Here is a 17,269-nt window from a genome sequence, read left to right as displayed (position 1 = left end):
TAAGTCGATAAAACTTTTAGCCATCTGATTATTTTTTGTCAGCTAGGTAAATTTTTAATACAGATTAATAAATCTTCTCTAGCCCAAACTTTGGCTTGAAACGTATTATCTTGAAGTCTAGTCACAGTTCCAGAAATCAAAACTGTTAGCAGATGATGTGATTGCAAGGTTTGGTTGCTTCTACTAATAAATCAGATTGCTTATTTGTCTAAGAATGTTATTGCCAAATTTGATATTGGACACTTACAATTTTACTCACCTTACATTATCAAAGTTGAAAGATGAGATCTTGCTTTTTGTGTAGACCTGATCTAGGTGATATGTCTGGAAAGAAATTAACTTTCCTTTTTCACATTAATTTGGACATATGTTTTTAAAATTAATATGACAGTCTTGTGAGAAACTGAGTATTCAGAAGGAAAGTTTTTATTAAACCATGGAAATATTTAAATATATGGAAATAAAGAGAATAATAAATCCCTATGTACACATCACCCAGCATTAACATCTATCAACACATAGTCTTGAGAAAGATAGTTTTTACTGGTTATATTTTTTGTAATCTTTCATTAGTCTAATCCTCATTAAGAGTGAATTAACACCTGTTGACACTAATACAGGATACTTTAAAAAAAATTATTTGTTACAGTTAGCTCAGGAGCAATTTGTCATTCTCCTAAAGGAGAAAATGGTCTAACGGGTAGACACACTACCTCCAGATCTTACCACTTGGTCGTGGTTCTCCTGGTTGTCACTTATTTTAGAGAGAGAGCTTGGTACCTGATCTTGAGAGCACTGGCGTCCAGTCTGTTCTGTGGCTATTTAGTAGCCCTGTGAATATAGGCAAATCACATACCTTCTCTAACCTGTAGTTTCCTCATTTGCAAAGTGAAGATGATAATGTCTATTTTCTGGTGTTTTATAAACATCAGGATTATTAATTTGCTTTATTTGTGCAGGCCTCCAGGACCCCTCATGGCTCTCGGGGGCACGTGGTTAAGAGTTGTCACTAGCTCATATGAGGTTTAGAAAAACAGACTAAAGCCACATAAGTTCTTTTATAATTCATGTTCTAAACAGGCAGTGCCATAAAGAAGTTGGAAGAACCAGAATTCCTGAGGCAGATAACTTACCACACCTGCTTTTCTTCCCTAAACCTTTTCATCTGAACATCTGTTGCAAAACCAAGTAGTCAGTTCTATGATTTTGGTGACAGGTTGTGCCTGCCATGACAATCAGTGTCTCAGGTTACTGCTCAGGAGACTGTTTCTGATTGTCACATCCTGGTGCTTGCTTTTGTGATTTTAGTACCCAAATAGAATGTATTAAGGAATTCATTAAGGAAATTGTTTTATAATGGTTTTGATGGGGGAAGGGTGTATTGTAAAATATACTGTTTTATAATGAATTGTTGGTAAATCTATTACTATGAAGATGCATGTAGCACGTGCTAGACTTCAAGAGGAATAAGTCACACACGCCAGTCTGTTTCACTGACATGTTTTGGATTCATGATTTGTTAAAGTATGTTTTCTCAAATGTGTTTTCTTTTGTGTGCATGGAAAGTGTTCAGATAAATATGGTGTATTAACTGTAAAGTTGTAATGTAACTACGCATAAAGTTGTAATGGCAGATTTTTTACACTAATTTTTAATACTTCATTTGTTAGCAGTCTTGCTTGAACAGTCTTTTTGAGCAGAACTAATACAATATTTTGATGTGCCACAGGTAAATTTTTCCATAACCTTATGGAGAGAAAGGACTTTGAGACATGGCTTGATAACATTTCTGTTACATTTCTTTCTCTGACGGACTTGCAGAAAAATGAAACTCTGGATCACCTGATTAGTCTGAGTGGGGCAGTCCAGCTCAGGCATCTCTCCAATAACCTAGAGACTCTCCTCAAGCGGGACTTCCTCAAACTCCTTCCCCTGGAGCTCAGTTTTTATTTGTTAAAATGGCTCGATCCTCAGACTTTACTCACATGCTGCCTCGTCTCTAAACAGTGGAATAAGGTGATAAGTGCCTGTACAGAGGTGTGGCAGACTGCATGTAAAAATTTGGGCTGGCAGATAGATGATTCTGTTCAGGACGCTTTGCACTGGAAGAAGGTTTATTTGAAGGCTATTTTGAGAATGAAGCAACTGGAGGACCATGAAGCCTTTGAAACCTCGTCATTAATTGGACACAGTGCCAGAGTGTATGCACTTTACTACAAAGATGGACTTCTCTGTACAGGTAAGAGATGTTGAAACTGCTTTTTGGGTTTTGTTTTGTATTTCATAGGGTGTAATCTTGAACCAGTCTTGAGCTTTGAGAATGACAAGTGTTGATTATATGAGATATGTACAGTGACTTTTTTTCTCTAATCCTGAGTGGTTCCCCCCCCTTATCCTCTTCCTTCTCTCTAGAGAACACAATCATTTTTATAAAATTTTATGAGAAAAACACTTCAGACTGTCTTTTAAACATTATGTGAATTACAAAGCTATAGATTACTTTTTCTTTGTGTTTCCTCCATGTGTAGTCCTCTGTTGCTAAATTCTGTTTCTTTTTCTGTTGGCACTGATATTTGAGGAAAAAAACAGTGGAAAAATTGGTATCTAATCCTAGCAAGTAGTTAGATCATTATGGCCAAATTACTTAACCTCTCTGTATCTTTAAAATATGGGAAAGGAGGTCGGGCGCAGTGGCTCATGCCTGTAATTCTAGCACTTTGGGAAGCCGAGGCGGGTGGATTGCCTGAGCTCAGGAGTTCGAGACCAGACTGGTCAACATGGTGAAATCCCGTCTCTACTGAAATACGAAAAAGTAGCCGGGCGTGGCGGCATGCGCCTATAATCCCAGCTACTCGGGAGGCTGAAACAGGAGAATCGCTTGAACCCGGGAGGCGGAGGTTCCAGTGAGCTGAGATGGTGCCACTGCACTCCAGCCTGGGTGACAGAGTGAGACTCCATCTCAAAATAAATATATATGTATATATGAAAGGAGATATTTCTTCCTTGCTCTGAAATCCTGTGATTCTAAGTAGAAGAAGTAGAAGTTGGAGTTTGGGCCTGGGAACAGAGAGAGCTGGATATTTTTTAACTAGGCAATTAAGTAATTTTATGAAACAATATAATTATTAAAAATTTAAAATTATATGTTATTTTCCATTTGTAATGGACGTGTGTTTCTGTATATGATTATAACTAATGCCCATGTGTTAGATAATACATTTTGACAGGCAATGTAAATAATTCTTAGGCAGCATTTAGAATAACTCCAGGCAGTTCTTGCTAATAATCCCAATGCCTGTTTCCTTACATTGTATATAATATATAGAAATACTTGGTGTTCTTTTTCATCCAAGATAACTTCCAATAAACATTTGTGTATTACGGTATAAACTGTTCCTTTTTGTAAATATATCAATAGTCATTATTTAGCCATTTCCATATTAATGCATATATTAGTCCATTCTCAGACTGCTAAAAAAACTGCCTAAGACCGGGTAATTTATGAAGAAAAGAGGTTTAATTGACTCCTAGTTCCACATGGCTGGGGAGGCCTCAGGAAACTTACAATCATGTCAGAAGGCAATATGATCATGGCGGAAGGCGAAGGGGAAGCAAGCACCTTGTTCACAAGGCAGCAGGAGAGAGAGAGTGTGAGTGAAGCAGGAAGAGGCCCTTATAAAACCATCAGGTCTGGAGAGAACTCACTCACTATCATGAGAACAGCATGGGGGGCCACCCCCATGATCCAGTCACCTCCCACCAAGTCTGTCCCTCAATACCTGGGGATTACAGTTCAGGATGAGGTTTGGGTGAGGACACAAAGCTTAACCATATCAATGCATATTCAGATTGTTTCTGTTTTTATTAGTGTCTTTGTATTACCTCTTTTTCCCTTGAATTCATTTGGGATAGAAGTCTAAAAGTAGAATCACCAGATACAGAAGTATGAATTATTTTATAGCTCTTTTTTTTTTTTTTTTTTTTTTTTTGAGATGGAGTCTCACTCTGTCACCCAGGTTGGAGTGCAGTGGTGCAATCTCGGCTCACTGCAACCTCTGCCTCCAGGGTTCGAGTCTCCTGCCTCAGCCTCCCGAGTAGCTGGGATTACAGGTGTGCGCCACCACACCCGGCTAATTTTTTTTGTATTTTTAGTAGAGGCGGAGTTTCACCTTGTTGCCCAGGCTGGTCTCAAACTCCTGACCTCAGGTGATCCACCCTCCAAAGTGTTGGGATTACAGGCGTGAGCCACCGTGCCCGGCCCAATTTTATAGCTCTTCTTAGTGCCCTTTCCAGATAGATTGAATTGATGCCATACCAATATAGTGTTAAGTAACTTGCTTCTCCCTCAGGAGTCTCACCAGACTCAATTTAAATATTTTTAATGTTGAGATGTATCATTTCTCAAGACCGTTTTACAATGCATTTCTTTATTCATTAAGGGTATGTATTATGTGGTGATATTTTCTCTGAAATGCTAGACACTCTGCTGGTTTTGGAAAATAAACATTTGATTTAAAGCATTTCATGGTTTGGTTTGTCATCCTGAAGTTATTTCACACTTTATTTTCCTTGTGTTACAAGCCTGATTACTAGAACAACATCACCAGTTCTTCTAGGCTTTGATGTACTTTCTCTGTTGTGGTGATGGCTTTTCCATGTCTCTTTTGCCTCATGATTTTAAAAGATTAAGATGCAGTTGACCAAATGAGGGGGCTCATGCCTGTAGTCCCAACACTTTGGGAGGCCAAGGCAGGCAGATTATGTGAGCCCAGGAGTTTTGAGACCAGCCTGGGCAACATAGCAAAATCCCATCTCTACAAAAAAATAAAAAAACAGCTGGGTGTGCTGGCTCACACCTGTGGTCCCAACTACTTGGGAGACTGAGGTGAGAGGATCGCTTGAGCCCAGGAGGTGGAGGTTGCAGTGAGCTAAGATTGTGCCACTGCACTCCAGCCTGGGCAACACAGCAAAACCCTGTCTCAAAAAAAAAAAAAATATTAAGATGCAGTATCATCTTGGAGCTTGGAGCTCCTACTGGCAGTTGACCATTTTTTCACAACCACCTGTAGCATTTTTTTTTTTTTTTTTGAAACAGGAGCTCCTCTGTCACCCGGGCTAGAGTGCAGTGGCGCAGTCTCGGCTCACTGCAACCTCCTCCTCCTGGGTTCAAGCGATTCTCTCGCCTCAGCTTCCTCAGTAGCTGGCATTACAGGCACGCGCCACCACAGCCCGGCTAATTTTTGTATTTTTAGTAGAGAAGGGGTTTCACCATGTTGGTCAGGCTGGTCTCAAACTCCTGATCTCAGATGATCTGCCTGCCTCGGCCTCCCAAAGTGCTGGGATTACAGGTGTGAGGCACTGCACCCAGCCGCATTTTTTTTTTTTCTTTTTTGGAGACAACCTCTCACTGGGTAGCTCCATCCTGGAGTGCAATGATGTGATCTTGGCTTTCTTCAACCTCCACCTCCTGGGCTCAGGTGATCCTCCCATGTCAGCCTCCCGGGTTTAGCTGGGACTACAAGCGAGCAACCCTATGCCTGGATCCTTTTTGTATTTTTTGTAGAGACAGGATTTCACCATGTTGCCCAGGCTGGTCTCGAACTCCTGGGCTCAAGCACTCCGCCCGTCTCAGCCTCCCAAAATGCTAGGATTACTGGTGTGAGCCACTATGCCTAGGTCCTCTTGCTTTAAAAAGTTTTTTTCTTCTCTCATCAAACCTTATTTTTGAAATGTAGTAAAAACTGCAGTTACTTGGAGTGGAAGTAAATGGGAAATATTCACTGAATTCTCTAACTACCTGGAAAGTTAATATCTACAATTCTACATTTTAAGATTATTCTCTTGGTGGGTCTGTATGTTAATGTGATTTTTATTCTGATTAAATTCATCAGGTTTGCATATTTAAAATTACGCTGTGCAGTGGTTGAAAATGATCCAAAGTATTAGTTTAATTTTTCTAACAGCAGCATCCCTGGAACTGTGAAGAGAGGTATTTGTGACAGAATTGTACATGTGTTTGTGTCATCTTGTTACTTAAGAGATTGAATTCTCATTGTGGTGGAATTGGGAAACCCTGAATTTGGCAATAAACTTAGTGACTCTCACATTAGTGCCTTGAGTAAGCAATAGACAGTTTTATTGAAGAGATTAATGGCTAATGACATTGAGGTAGTTATCTTTCTCTTTCGCAATTTATTTCTGAAATGGTAAGAAAGGAATCTATTATGCTTTGTGCTGTTCAGTAGATATTTACTTATGGGATGCCTACTGTTTGAAAAACAATGTGAGGGCATACACGGATGAATTAGAGCAGTTTTTTCTTGTGGAACATACACACTGGGACCAGGAAGATGACCTGACTGAGGTAAAAGTCTCTGTGTGGACTATAGCAAATCAAGAACACTTGCCTTTCTAAAGAGTGCAGCTGGTGCTCCATTGTAATAAATTATTGCCATGTGGGTGGGATTCAGGGTCAGAGTTGTTAGATCTGACTTCAAGAGAAGCCTGAAATCTAGAGTTCTGTGCAATAGTCTGATTTTTTTTAAAGTATTATTAAGATTTTTAAGATACTGAATGGGGAGGGATTTTTTTCTTTCGTGCAGTGTGAGAGTCCACATTTCTTTAGTCCTCTTTCACCTCTATGCTGCATCACTGGTGACCTCTTTGAAAACATGTTGGGTTAGCCAGTGCAGCAAATGGGAGTCCAGAGGGGAGGCTGACATAAAGCCAGAAAGGAGCAGAGAACAGTGATTCCTAAAGGATTCTCAGGAGTAGACTTGCATCACTATAAATGGAACTCGACTCAACCTGATTATTATTATTTTTTTTTAGGGTGTAAAACTGGCACAATGTTTTCCTATAAAAACTAGTTTAAATAATTAGTTTGGATAACCTTTTTTTTTGCAAATTGTGCGAAAACATACATAACATAAAATTTACCATTTTAATCATTTTAAAGCATACAGTTGAGTGCCATTAAGTACATTACGTTGTTGTGCAGTCATCACCACTATCCATTTCCAGAACTTTACATCTTCCCAAACTAAAATGGTATCAGTTAAACACTATACAGTGTTAACTGTATAAACAGTATATAATACACTATATAGTTAAACTGTATCCAATTTTTTTGTTTGTTTTTGGGGGGGTTTTCTTTTGAGATAAGGTCTCACTCTGTAGCCCAGGTTGGAGTGGTTGGAGTACAGTGACATGATCTTGGCTCACTGTAACTTCTACCTCCTGGACTCAAGCGATTCTTCCACTTTGGCCTCCCAAGTAGCTGGGACTACGTGTGTGTGCCACCATGCCCAGCTAATTTTTGTATTTTTTATGGAGATGGGGTCTCACCATGTTTCCCAGGATGATCTCTAACTCCTGGGCTTAAGCACTCTTCTTGCCTCAGCTTCCTGAAGTGTTGGGATTACAGGCATGAGCCACCATGTCCAGCCTAAACCCTGTCAGTTAAACATTGCCCATGCCCCTTCCCCCACAGCCTGTGGCAAAACAACCATTCTGCTTGCTTGCTTGTTTTATTTTTTTTTTTGAGACAGAGTCTCAATTTGGTGCCCAGGCTGGAGTGCAGTGGCTCAATTTTGGCTCACTGCAACCTCACCTCCCAGGTTCAAGCGATTATCCTGCCTCAGCCTCCCGAGTAGCTGGGATTACAGGCATGCGCCACCGTGTCTGGCTAATTTTTGTATTTTTAGTACAGACGGGGTTTCAACGTGTTGGCCAGGCTGGTCTCAAACTCCTGACCTCAGGTGAACCAGCCTCGGCCTCCCAAAGTTCTGGGATTACAGGCATGAGCCACCATGCCTGGCCCACCATTCTACTTTCTATGAATTTGACTACTCTAGGAACCTAATATAAGTGGAATCATACAGTATTTGTTCTTTTGTGGCTGGCTTAGTTCACTTAGCATGATGTCTTCAAGGTTCTTCCATATCATAACATCTCAGAATTTTATTCTTTTTTTTTTTTTTTTGAGACGGAGTTTTGCACTTGTTGCCCAGGCTGGAGTGCAGTGGCGCCATCTTGGCTCACCGCAACCTCCGCCTCCCGGGTTCAAGCAATTCTTCTGTCTTAGCCTCCCAAGTAGCTGGGATTACAGGCGTGCGCCACCACGCCTGGCTAATTTTTGTATTTTTATTAGAGATGGGATTTCTCCACGTTGGTAAGGCAGGTCTCAAACTCCTGACCTCAGGTGATCCTCCCGCCTCGGCCTCCCAAAGTGTTGGGATTACAGGTGTGAGCCACCACACCCGGCCAATTTTATTCCTTTTTAAGGCTGAATAACTCCATTCCATGTATGTATATATGTGTGTGTGTGTATGTGTGTGTGTGTGTGTGTGTGTGTGTGTGTGTGTGTGTGTATGTATATAAAATATATTCCATGTATGTGTCACATTTTGTTTGTCCTCTCCCCTGGTTTTTAACTGCCTTCTTGCCTCTAGTTTTCCCCCCTTCAAACCTTTTTCCATGATATAGCCATAGTGATCTTTCTGATATGCAAATAAGGTCATAGTTAAACAACCTCCTAACCCAGTTCTGCAGCCAAACCTTGCCACTATTTCGCAGTCAGACTGAACTGTTTTCATAATCAGTGTTCATGTTTTAGGCAGTGCTTTTGACAAGCATTGTAAATAACTCCTAGACGGTTTTTTGAATGATTCCAAATAGTTCTTTATGACTTGATCCCAGTTCCTTTTCAATAATTTTTGTGTTGCATATAGAGATATTTAATAGTTGCTTTAATAGGTATATACCAGGGATTGGCAAACTGTGGACTGTGGGCCAAATCCAGCAGAAGAGAGTAATTGCAACTCAATAGGTCAACGTCTAAAATACTTACTATCAGGCCCTTTACAGAAAAAGTTTTGGTATATACTATTCCTTTTGTTTTGTTTTGGCCTGGCTAACTTATTCATCCTTAGGTTTAAATTAGTTAAAACTTAAAGGTTTTTTTTTTTTTGCCATGATATTCTTTCTTGAAACAGTCCTATACCAAAGCCCAGCTTAAAAACAAAAGAGGAGTGTAGTTGAAGAACCAATCATGCCAGTTCCTAAGGCACGTGTTATAGAGCATGGTCATAAATTCAGTGGAGCCTCGTCTGAGATGTTTTCTCTTCTTGTCCTCTCCTTGTATTTGCTATGGGCTTTTGTAGTGCCTGCCAGCTACTATACTGAATTATTATTGCTTGTTTAGCCTTTTTGTCTTCCCAAGTAGACTGAGTGCCATGAGAACAAGAATCCTGCCTGACACAGAAGTTCTATAAATATATGTTGAATGAATGAATGAGACCCCAGTTGAACACTGGTAACCAAAACCAAGCTCATAAAGGACCTAAAATGATTTCCTTTCCTACTCTAGCTCCTTAGGAATACAGTCACAACATGCCTGAACTGAAGGCCTTAAAGACTATCTAGGCTTACGCTCTCCGGTACAGTAGCCACTAGCGCCATGTGGTTTTTGAGTACTTGAGCTGTGGCTAGTCCAAATGGAGGTGTGAAATACTGGGTTTCAAAGACATACAATGTAAAAGAATATAAAATATCTCAATATTTGTATTGATTACATGTTCAAATGACATTTTTGACATACTGAGTTAAACACATTTAATTATTTTAACACATTTTCTTTTTTTTTTTTTTTTGAAACAGAGTCTTCCTCTGTTGCCCAGGCTGGAGTGCAGTGGTGTGATCTTGGCTCACTACAACCTCCTCCCGGGTTCAAGTGATTCTCCTGCCTCAGCCTCCTGAGTAGCTGGGACTACAGGCGTACGCCATCATGCCTGGCTAATTTTTGTATTTTTTTTAGTGGAGACAGGGTTTCACCATGTTGGCTAACATTTCTTTTTTTTTTTTTTTTCTTTGAGGTGGAGGCCCTCTGTAGTCCAAGCTGGAATGCAGTGGCGTGATCTCAGCTCATTGCAACCTCTGCCTCCCCAGCTCAAGCGATTCTCATGCCTCAGCCTTCCGAGTAGCTGGGAATATAGGCGCGCCATCATGCCCGGCTGATTTTTTTTATTTTAGTAGAGACAGGGTTTCGCGATGGTCTTGAACTCCTGAGCTCAGGCAATATGCCTGCCTTGGCCTCCTAAAGTGCTGAGATTACAGGCATGAGCCACTGCGCCCGGCCCAACATTTCTTTTTTAATGTAACTATTAGGACATTTTAAATTATATCTGCAGTTTGCATTATATTTTCTGTTGGATAGCACCGTTCTAGACCATTGGCTCTCAAAATATTGCTGATGAGTTAGAATCACCTGGCAAACTTTTAAGATTATTGGACCCTGCCTCAGATGTTCCCCAAGTTAAACTCTCTGAAAATAGGGACCTGCCTGTGTGTTTTGATAAAGTTGTATCACATGGCCATTGAGAACCAACCAAGTCCTACCCCTCTTTTTATACAGAAGGAAACAGTCTAAATAGCAAAGTGACAATAAATACAGTCTTTATTTCAGTATGCTATCATAGTTTTCCCAGGTTAAAATTCATACTCTAGCTCTTTCATAAGTGATGGCTATTTTTCCATTGTCTCAAACAGTGGTTCTTGACTGAAGGTAGAATTGTGGCTGGCTTTAGTCATTTCAGCTTTTTAAAAACTGGTCATTTGGTGCTTTCCTAGGATACTGTGCCATTATCATAGTGACTGTATTTAGTGGATTCTCAAAAATGTCTTTTTATTTGTTGAGGCTTATTGAAGGGTCATTGTAAGAATGAATTAATCATTAGGATTTTAAACTTAAAGCAAAGTCCTGAATTGTCACCATGATTAGTATAGAATTTTCATCAGAGGCAGAAATAAAGCCAACTTTTCCCTTCAGAATCTTAAGAGGCTTTACAAACTTTTTGTTGAGTTGTGAATATCTGGGGATAATTTATCCCAGGTTTTCCTTGAGGTTTCTTCCTTCACGTATTTCAAGATGACTGGAGCAATTAGCAGTTAGCTTTTGCAGAAGTTAGCCCAGGCTCTGAGGTTTGTCCTTGACTTGCCTTAGAGTGGAATATATTTCAGCAAACACCTTTACTATTTAACAATCCTTATTTGTTCAGAACTGTTGGGTAATGGACAAGCATGCAAGTGTAAACATGCAGTCATGTGTAATACCTATTTATTTGAAGTCAAATCAGAGAGCTCGTGATAGCCAAGGATTTATGAAATTTTTCAAGTGGAAGCACCAAGGGATGCTTTTAGTCTAATGACCTTCTGTAGCCTGAAAAGTTAAGGGAAAGTGTCTCACCCAAAAAGCTTGGATTCTGTCCTAGTGCTTTTGACTCCGTTTTGGTGACTCTAAGCAAGTTGTGTTACTCTCTCCGTGCTTTGATTTCTTCAGTGGTAAAGTAAAGTGCTAGAGGAAGGGACCGTTAATGTTCTTGAAGAACACCATGATTTTGGGATTGATTTTCCTTCTTTAGTGTGTTTGTTTTCTTATTAACCTCCCTGTTTTTCTCTTGAAGGGTCAGATGACTTGTCTGCAAAGCTGTGGGATGTGAGCACAGGGCAGTGCGTTTATGGCATCCAGACCCACACTTGTGCAGCGGTGAAGTTTGATGAACAGAAGCTTGTGACAGGCTCCTTTGACAACACTGTGGCTTGCTGGGAATGGAGTTCCGGAGCCAGGACCCAGCACTTTCGGGGGCACACGGGGGCGGGTGGGTTGCCCTTTTTCAAGGGTTTTTACAACTTAGCCTCATCCTTTTAAGCCAGGAGCCAAGAATGTGAAATGCTTTTTTTTTTTTAATTTAACCTGCTTTTTTCAACCCTCTTTCTTAGTCATTGCAGTTATTTCCCTTTATTCTAGTTACTCTTATTTCGAATGTTTTACCCAGTTTTGCTTTTTCTTGCTTTCTTCTATGTGTGTACCCTTCTGGTGGGAAGGGTAGTTTTCATTCTCTCTCTGTTTCTCTCTCTCTCTCTCATTCTCTCTCTCCCCCCTCCTGTTTCATTTATATCCTATTGAACAGACAGTCCCTTGGCTTTTATCAGATTCCATACCTCTGAACTGAGTAAATCCTACTTGTGTAAATTCCACTTTATTTGTAGCATTAGGGCTGAAAGTTCTTTGGTGTGACGGTGGTTCTTAGATTGTGTGGTCTACACAGATTACATCCAGTTTGAGCTTGGTTGACAGTTGATTAAAACAAGCTACCACCTAGAGATAAGGCGAAAGAAACATACCTGAATGTTTCCTAATAAATGTATAGCATCCTTATTTTGCAAAAACTGGTCATTTGAATATAGCCTTGAGATTTGAGCTTCTCTCTCTGTTGCTTTTTTTTTGGCGGGGGCGGGGGTGGGGAGGCTTTGTGTAGAAATTGAGCTATTTCCCAGCCTCTTGTGTTGAGCAGCTCCCTTCCTTTCCCCCATTTACCCACTGCTTTAGCCTCTGAGAATCATAGTCTGTAATGTCAAGCATTACGTTTATGAGCAGCCTTCCAAAACTCCCTTAACAGGTTGCGTCCCTCTATTTCCCAGTAACTTGTATTACTGTAGACCGCTCATCATACAAATATAATCTTGCTTCCCCACCAGACTAAACTCCATAAGGACAGTGATCTTATCTGTCTTGTTCACCCATGTGACTGGAGTTACTTGCACTGTACCTGGTGCTTAGTGATTCTTTGAAGTAAAACTAGCCGTTAGGCTAATAAAAACACGTATTTTTTGCTTCATTTTATTTGTCCTCCTATATACTCTTCTTCAGTCTTTGCTGTCTGCTACCACTTGTTAGAAATTAATATTTGAAGGTGCATGTATGCATGGAAGTATATGTTAAATTGAGTGTTATGTTCCACAATGTTAAGATGTACCATGACTTCCAGGTGATTTTATTCCTGATCAACTTTGAGAACCCTGCTCTAAAAATTTTTATTACTGTTGCCTAGACATTGCTGAGGTTTTTCTTAACTTCATACCTTTACTATTCCCTCTGCTTGCAGTATTCTTTTTTCTTTCCTTGATAAACTCTGCTCATCCTTTAGGGCCCATCTCCAATATCGCCTCTTCCCTGAAGTCCTCCCTGATACCCCTGGGCAGAGTTAGTCATTCTCCTTGATGTTTCCCTAGCAAGAGGTAAACATTTATTTTTTTCTGGGCTTCCTCCTCCACTCCCTACTTAGATTGAGTTCCTTAAAGGAAGAATCAGTGTCTTCATCTCTGGGTCCCTAATGTTCCTTTAGAACTGGTATACATTTGAAAACAAATATTTGAGTACACACTATACAGCTTACACTGTTTTTGGCGCTGGGGATACAGCTGTGAAGAAATTCAGACACTTTTGAGTTAATGGCTTAATCTAACCTTTGAGATCCTTGTTTTTGTTTTGTTTTTTCTCTCTTTACATTGGGTTTTCTTGAGTCTGGGTGCTGTTTTGCAGCTTCCATTCTTTATATTTTGTCTTACTGTTAGTGTGTATCAGAGTAGGACCATGTACGTTTTGTTTTCCTGCATAAATTAGATAAAGTATTGTGTAGTGTCAGGCAGGCAGTCCTAAGAAGGAATGCCATTATCTCCAACATTTGTTTTGCCTCTCACTGTAGCTACCACAAATAAAAGAGATTGTATTATTCCTAGGACTTTCCACCTTAGAATAATAAGCTATAATAGTAAGAATTTTGAAATAGTTTTATCAGAAAATTGCTAGTTGAATAGCATCATTCTTACGGTGTCTCTGGTTGGGAAATTATATAATTGGGGAAAATAAACATTATTGAACTCTATTATAAAAGACCCACTGACAGAGACATGTTTTAACTTTGTGTAATTATATGCACTAGTATTTAGCGTGGACTACAATGATGAACTGGATATCTTGGTGAGCGGCTCTGCAGACTTCACTGTGAAAGTATGGGCTTTATCTGCTGGGACATGCCTGAACACACTCACCGGGCACACGGAATGGGTCACCAAGGTAGGAAGACTTGGAAGAAGTCTCCTGCTTATCAGGCTTTTTGAGGGAGGGCGTGGAGGATGGTAGACACTGCCTTATAAGTGTTAGGTGAGTCATAAGATGGAATTGCTGTACCTACAAAGCATAATGGTACACAACAGTGACCAGCAAGTAGAAGGTACTTAATACATGGTTTAACAAATAAATGACTTATGGACATGGAAAGTTGCCCACAATATATTAGGTGGATAGAGGGGGCAAATAAAACAGATTACATACAAAAAAATATGTAGAGTGTGATACCGGTTTCTGAATGTGTTCATGCATCAAAATGTTGAAGGTGGGTATTTCTGGTGGGATTGTGGGCGTGTTTTTCCCTTTAGAATAAACATGTTTCTTTCTTAATCAGAAAAGCAATTTTCATTTTGAAAAAATAACGCTTACAAGAAGTAGGACAAAGAAAACTGTACAGGATCTTTAGTAAAATATTGTAATGTTTTCTTTTTTAAAAAAAACAAGATTGTTGTGAGGATCAAATGCAGTATTAATAATGGATATACCACGCAGAAGCACTTTTCTTGAGTTTACCATCCCATTCTATGAGGGGGCTGAGAAAACAGGAGTAAGCAAAATAGACCCAGTCCTTACCCTGTGGATGATAGTCTAATAGGAGAAATAGTTTTATTAAACAATTTCATGGGTAAATATATCATTTCAAATTGTGTTAAGTTTTGTGAAGGAACAGTACAGTGTTCTATAAGACAGTCTAGGGCCAGGCACAGAGGCTTACATGTGTAATCCCAGCACTTTGGGAGGCCAAGGCGGGCGGATCACCTGAGCCCAGGAGTTCGAGGCCAGCCTGGCCAACATGGTGAAACTCCGTCGCTACTGAAAGTACAAAAATCAGCCAGGCGTAATCCCAGCTACTCAGGAGGCTGAGACAGGGGAATTAACTTGAAGCTGGGGAGGCGGAGGTTGCAGTGAGCCAAGATCGTGCCACTGCACTCCACCCTAGGCAACAAAGTGAGACTCTTTCAAAAAAAAAAAAAAGTATAGGAAAGTAATTAGTTCAGAAAAAAGTTTTTGAGAAGGGGGTTAAACATGAAGAATAAATAGGAGATAGCTGTGGAAAGAGTAGCTGAAAGATTGTTTCAGAGGGTGCAATACATGCACGGGCCCAGCGGGTGGAAAGAACTTGGAACATTTGATGACCTGGACATAAGCCAGTGGAGCCATGCTGTAGTTGGGAAGATGGGCAGAGAGGTGGTAATCCTGTATGATTTATAAGGCCACAGTAAGTATGGTGGATATCATCAGAAGTGTACTAGGAAGCAATCCACGAGTTCTGAGCAAGTGTCTGGTGCGATCTATGTTTTAGGAAAATTAACTGCTGAATGAAGAATGGACTAGAGTTGGGCACAAGTGGATACAGGGTGACCATTTAGGCTTTGGCAGTAATCTAAGCAAAAGATGCCCATAACTTAGATTTTCCTGGCAATAATGAAAAGGGCACCCATAAAGGATATGTCTTTAAGGTAAAGCCACCTGGCTTGCAGATTCACTGTGGGAAACAAAGAAGAATCATTTGTTGTTGTTTTAATACAGACAGGGTCTCATTCTGTTGCCCAGGCTGGAATGCCGTGTCATGATCATAGCTCTCTGCAACTTTGAATCCCCAGGCTTAAGTGATCCTCTCACCTCAGCCTCCCGAGTAGCTAGCACTACAGCCACGTGCCACCACACTGAGCTAATTTCTTTTTTTTTTTTTTTTTTTTTGAGATGGAGTTTCACTCTTGTTGCGCAGGCTGGAGTGCAGTGGCACGATCTCGGCTCACTGCAGCATCCATCTGCCGGGTTCAAGTGATTCTCCTGCTTCAGCCTCCAGAGTAGCTGGGATTACAGGCGCCCACCACCATGCCTGGCTAATTTTTTGTGTTTTTAGTAGAGACGGAGTTTCATTGTGTTGGCCAGGCTGGTCTCGAACTCCTGACCTCAGGTGATCCACCCACCTCGGCCTCCCAAAATGCTGAGATTACAGGCGTGAGCCACCGTGCCCAGCTGCTAATTAAAAAAAATTTTTTGTGTGTGGAGATGGGGGTCTTGCTGTGTTGCCCAGGCTGGTCTTGAACTCCTGGCCTCAAGCAGTCCTCCCTCCTCGGCCTCTCAAAGTGCTGGGATTATAGGCATGAGCCACTGTGCCTAGCCCATGTTAACTTTTTACATGGAAAAGCTATATAGTGTAAGGCAGTTTGGTGTTGTGGAAAATAGTTGATTGGGGCTAGGACACTGACGGTGATGTCTTGGACAAGTTACTCCACCTTCAGGACCTGAGCTGTGTCATCTGCTAAATGTTCCTGTGAACACGAAATGAAATGTTGGGACAGCACCCAGCAAGGTGCCTGATACTTAGTAATAGGTCTGTTTCAGTTGAGTCTGCAATCCAGACTTCTGAATGAGTGAACCCTGCTTCCCCTCTCACCTTAGCCTGATTGATTGCAAAAATAGCTAGAACCTGATGTTTATATACTTATCTCAAGTGCTAACAGAATGTTAGCTTTTATTTTGTTACTACTATAATTTACATTGTTACTTTATCTTTACTGTAATTAAATGAGGTAAGATAATAGGTGCTTGTCTCCTGTTTTAAAGATCAAGAAACTGACCGAGTTTAGATGGTCTTGTCCAAGGTTGCAAAGTCAGCATATGGCAGATTCTGGTCCCAAGTCCAGTGCTTTTTCATTTATGATTCACATAGTTATGAAAGCAGATCATTTGCATCTACGTCAGTGTCTACGGGCTTTTTTCTTTTCTGTTCCCTCTCTTAAGTTACATTTTATAATTTTAAAAAATCAGTCCTAATGTTTGCTTCTAGACGAATGCTAAGATTAAATGCTGCCAATGTTTAGACTGTTTTTTTTTTTTTTTAAGCGTTGTGGTCTTGCTCTGTTGCCCAGGTTGGAGTGCAGTGGTGCAATCATAGCTCACTGCATCCTCCAACTCCTGGGCTCAAGCAATCCTCCCACCTCAGCCTTCCGAGTCACTGGGATTATAGGCGTGACCCACCTCATCTGGCTAACGTTAGACACTTTTAGATACTGCTAATAACAGAGAATATTGTAGTAAAACTTTTAGTAGAGGTTAATTTGGTAATGGAGTTATGGCTTAGCTATTCTAGCATATGTTAAGCTCATTTTTGTATTTTAATTTAAAGAATAAAATCATTATAGGAGCAGCATTAAAAGGATCTTTCCGTAACATGGTTTACATTTGCAGGTAGTTTTGCAGAAGTGCAAAGTCAAGTCTCTCTTGCACAGTCCTGGAGACTACATCCTCTTAAGTGCAGACAAATATGAGATTAAGGTGAGTTTTTTTCTC

The 17,269-nt window shown here is 40.4% G+C and overlaps 1 protein-coding gene across 14 annotated transcripts in view; it reads left to right on the top strand.

Annotated features, from left to right (window-relative positions):
* Positions 1-17,269, top strand: part of FBXW2 (F-box and WD repeat domain containing 2) — a 36,443-nt gene that overhangs the window by 3,409 nt on the left and 15,765 nt on the right. For 5 of the 14 annotated variants that reach the window (NM_001375888.1, XM_006717049.4, NM_012164.4 and 2 more), the window contains 4 exons: positions 1,730-2,239; positions 11,463-11,657; positions 13,782-13,915; positions 17,168-17,254. In NM_001375888.1, the coding sequence (NP_001362817.1) occupies positions 1,750-2,239; positions 11,463-11,657; positions 13,782-13,915; positions 17,168-17,254 (906 nt within the window). In that variant the 5' untranslated portion in view covers positions 1,730-1,749. Of the gene's footprint in view, positions 1-1,729; positions 2,240-11,462; positions 11,658-12,986; positions 13,078-13,781; positions 13,916-17,167; positions 17,255-17,269 lie in introns of those variants that run through there. The other 9 variants (NM_001375889.1, XM_047423214.1, XM_047423215.1 and 6 more) reach the window with 4 other exon arrangements.

This window comes from Homo sapiens, chromosome 9 (genome assembly GCF_000001405.40).
Source record: "Homo sapiens chromosome 9, GRCh38.p14 Primary Assembly".
Classification (NCBI taxonomy): Eukaryota; Metazoa; Chordata; class Mammalia; order Primates; family Hominidae; genus Homo; species Homo sapiens.
This window is presented reverse-complemented; position numbering and strand designations above follow the sequence as displayed.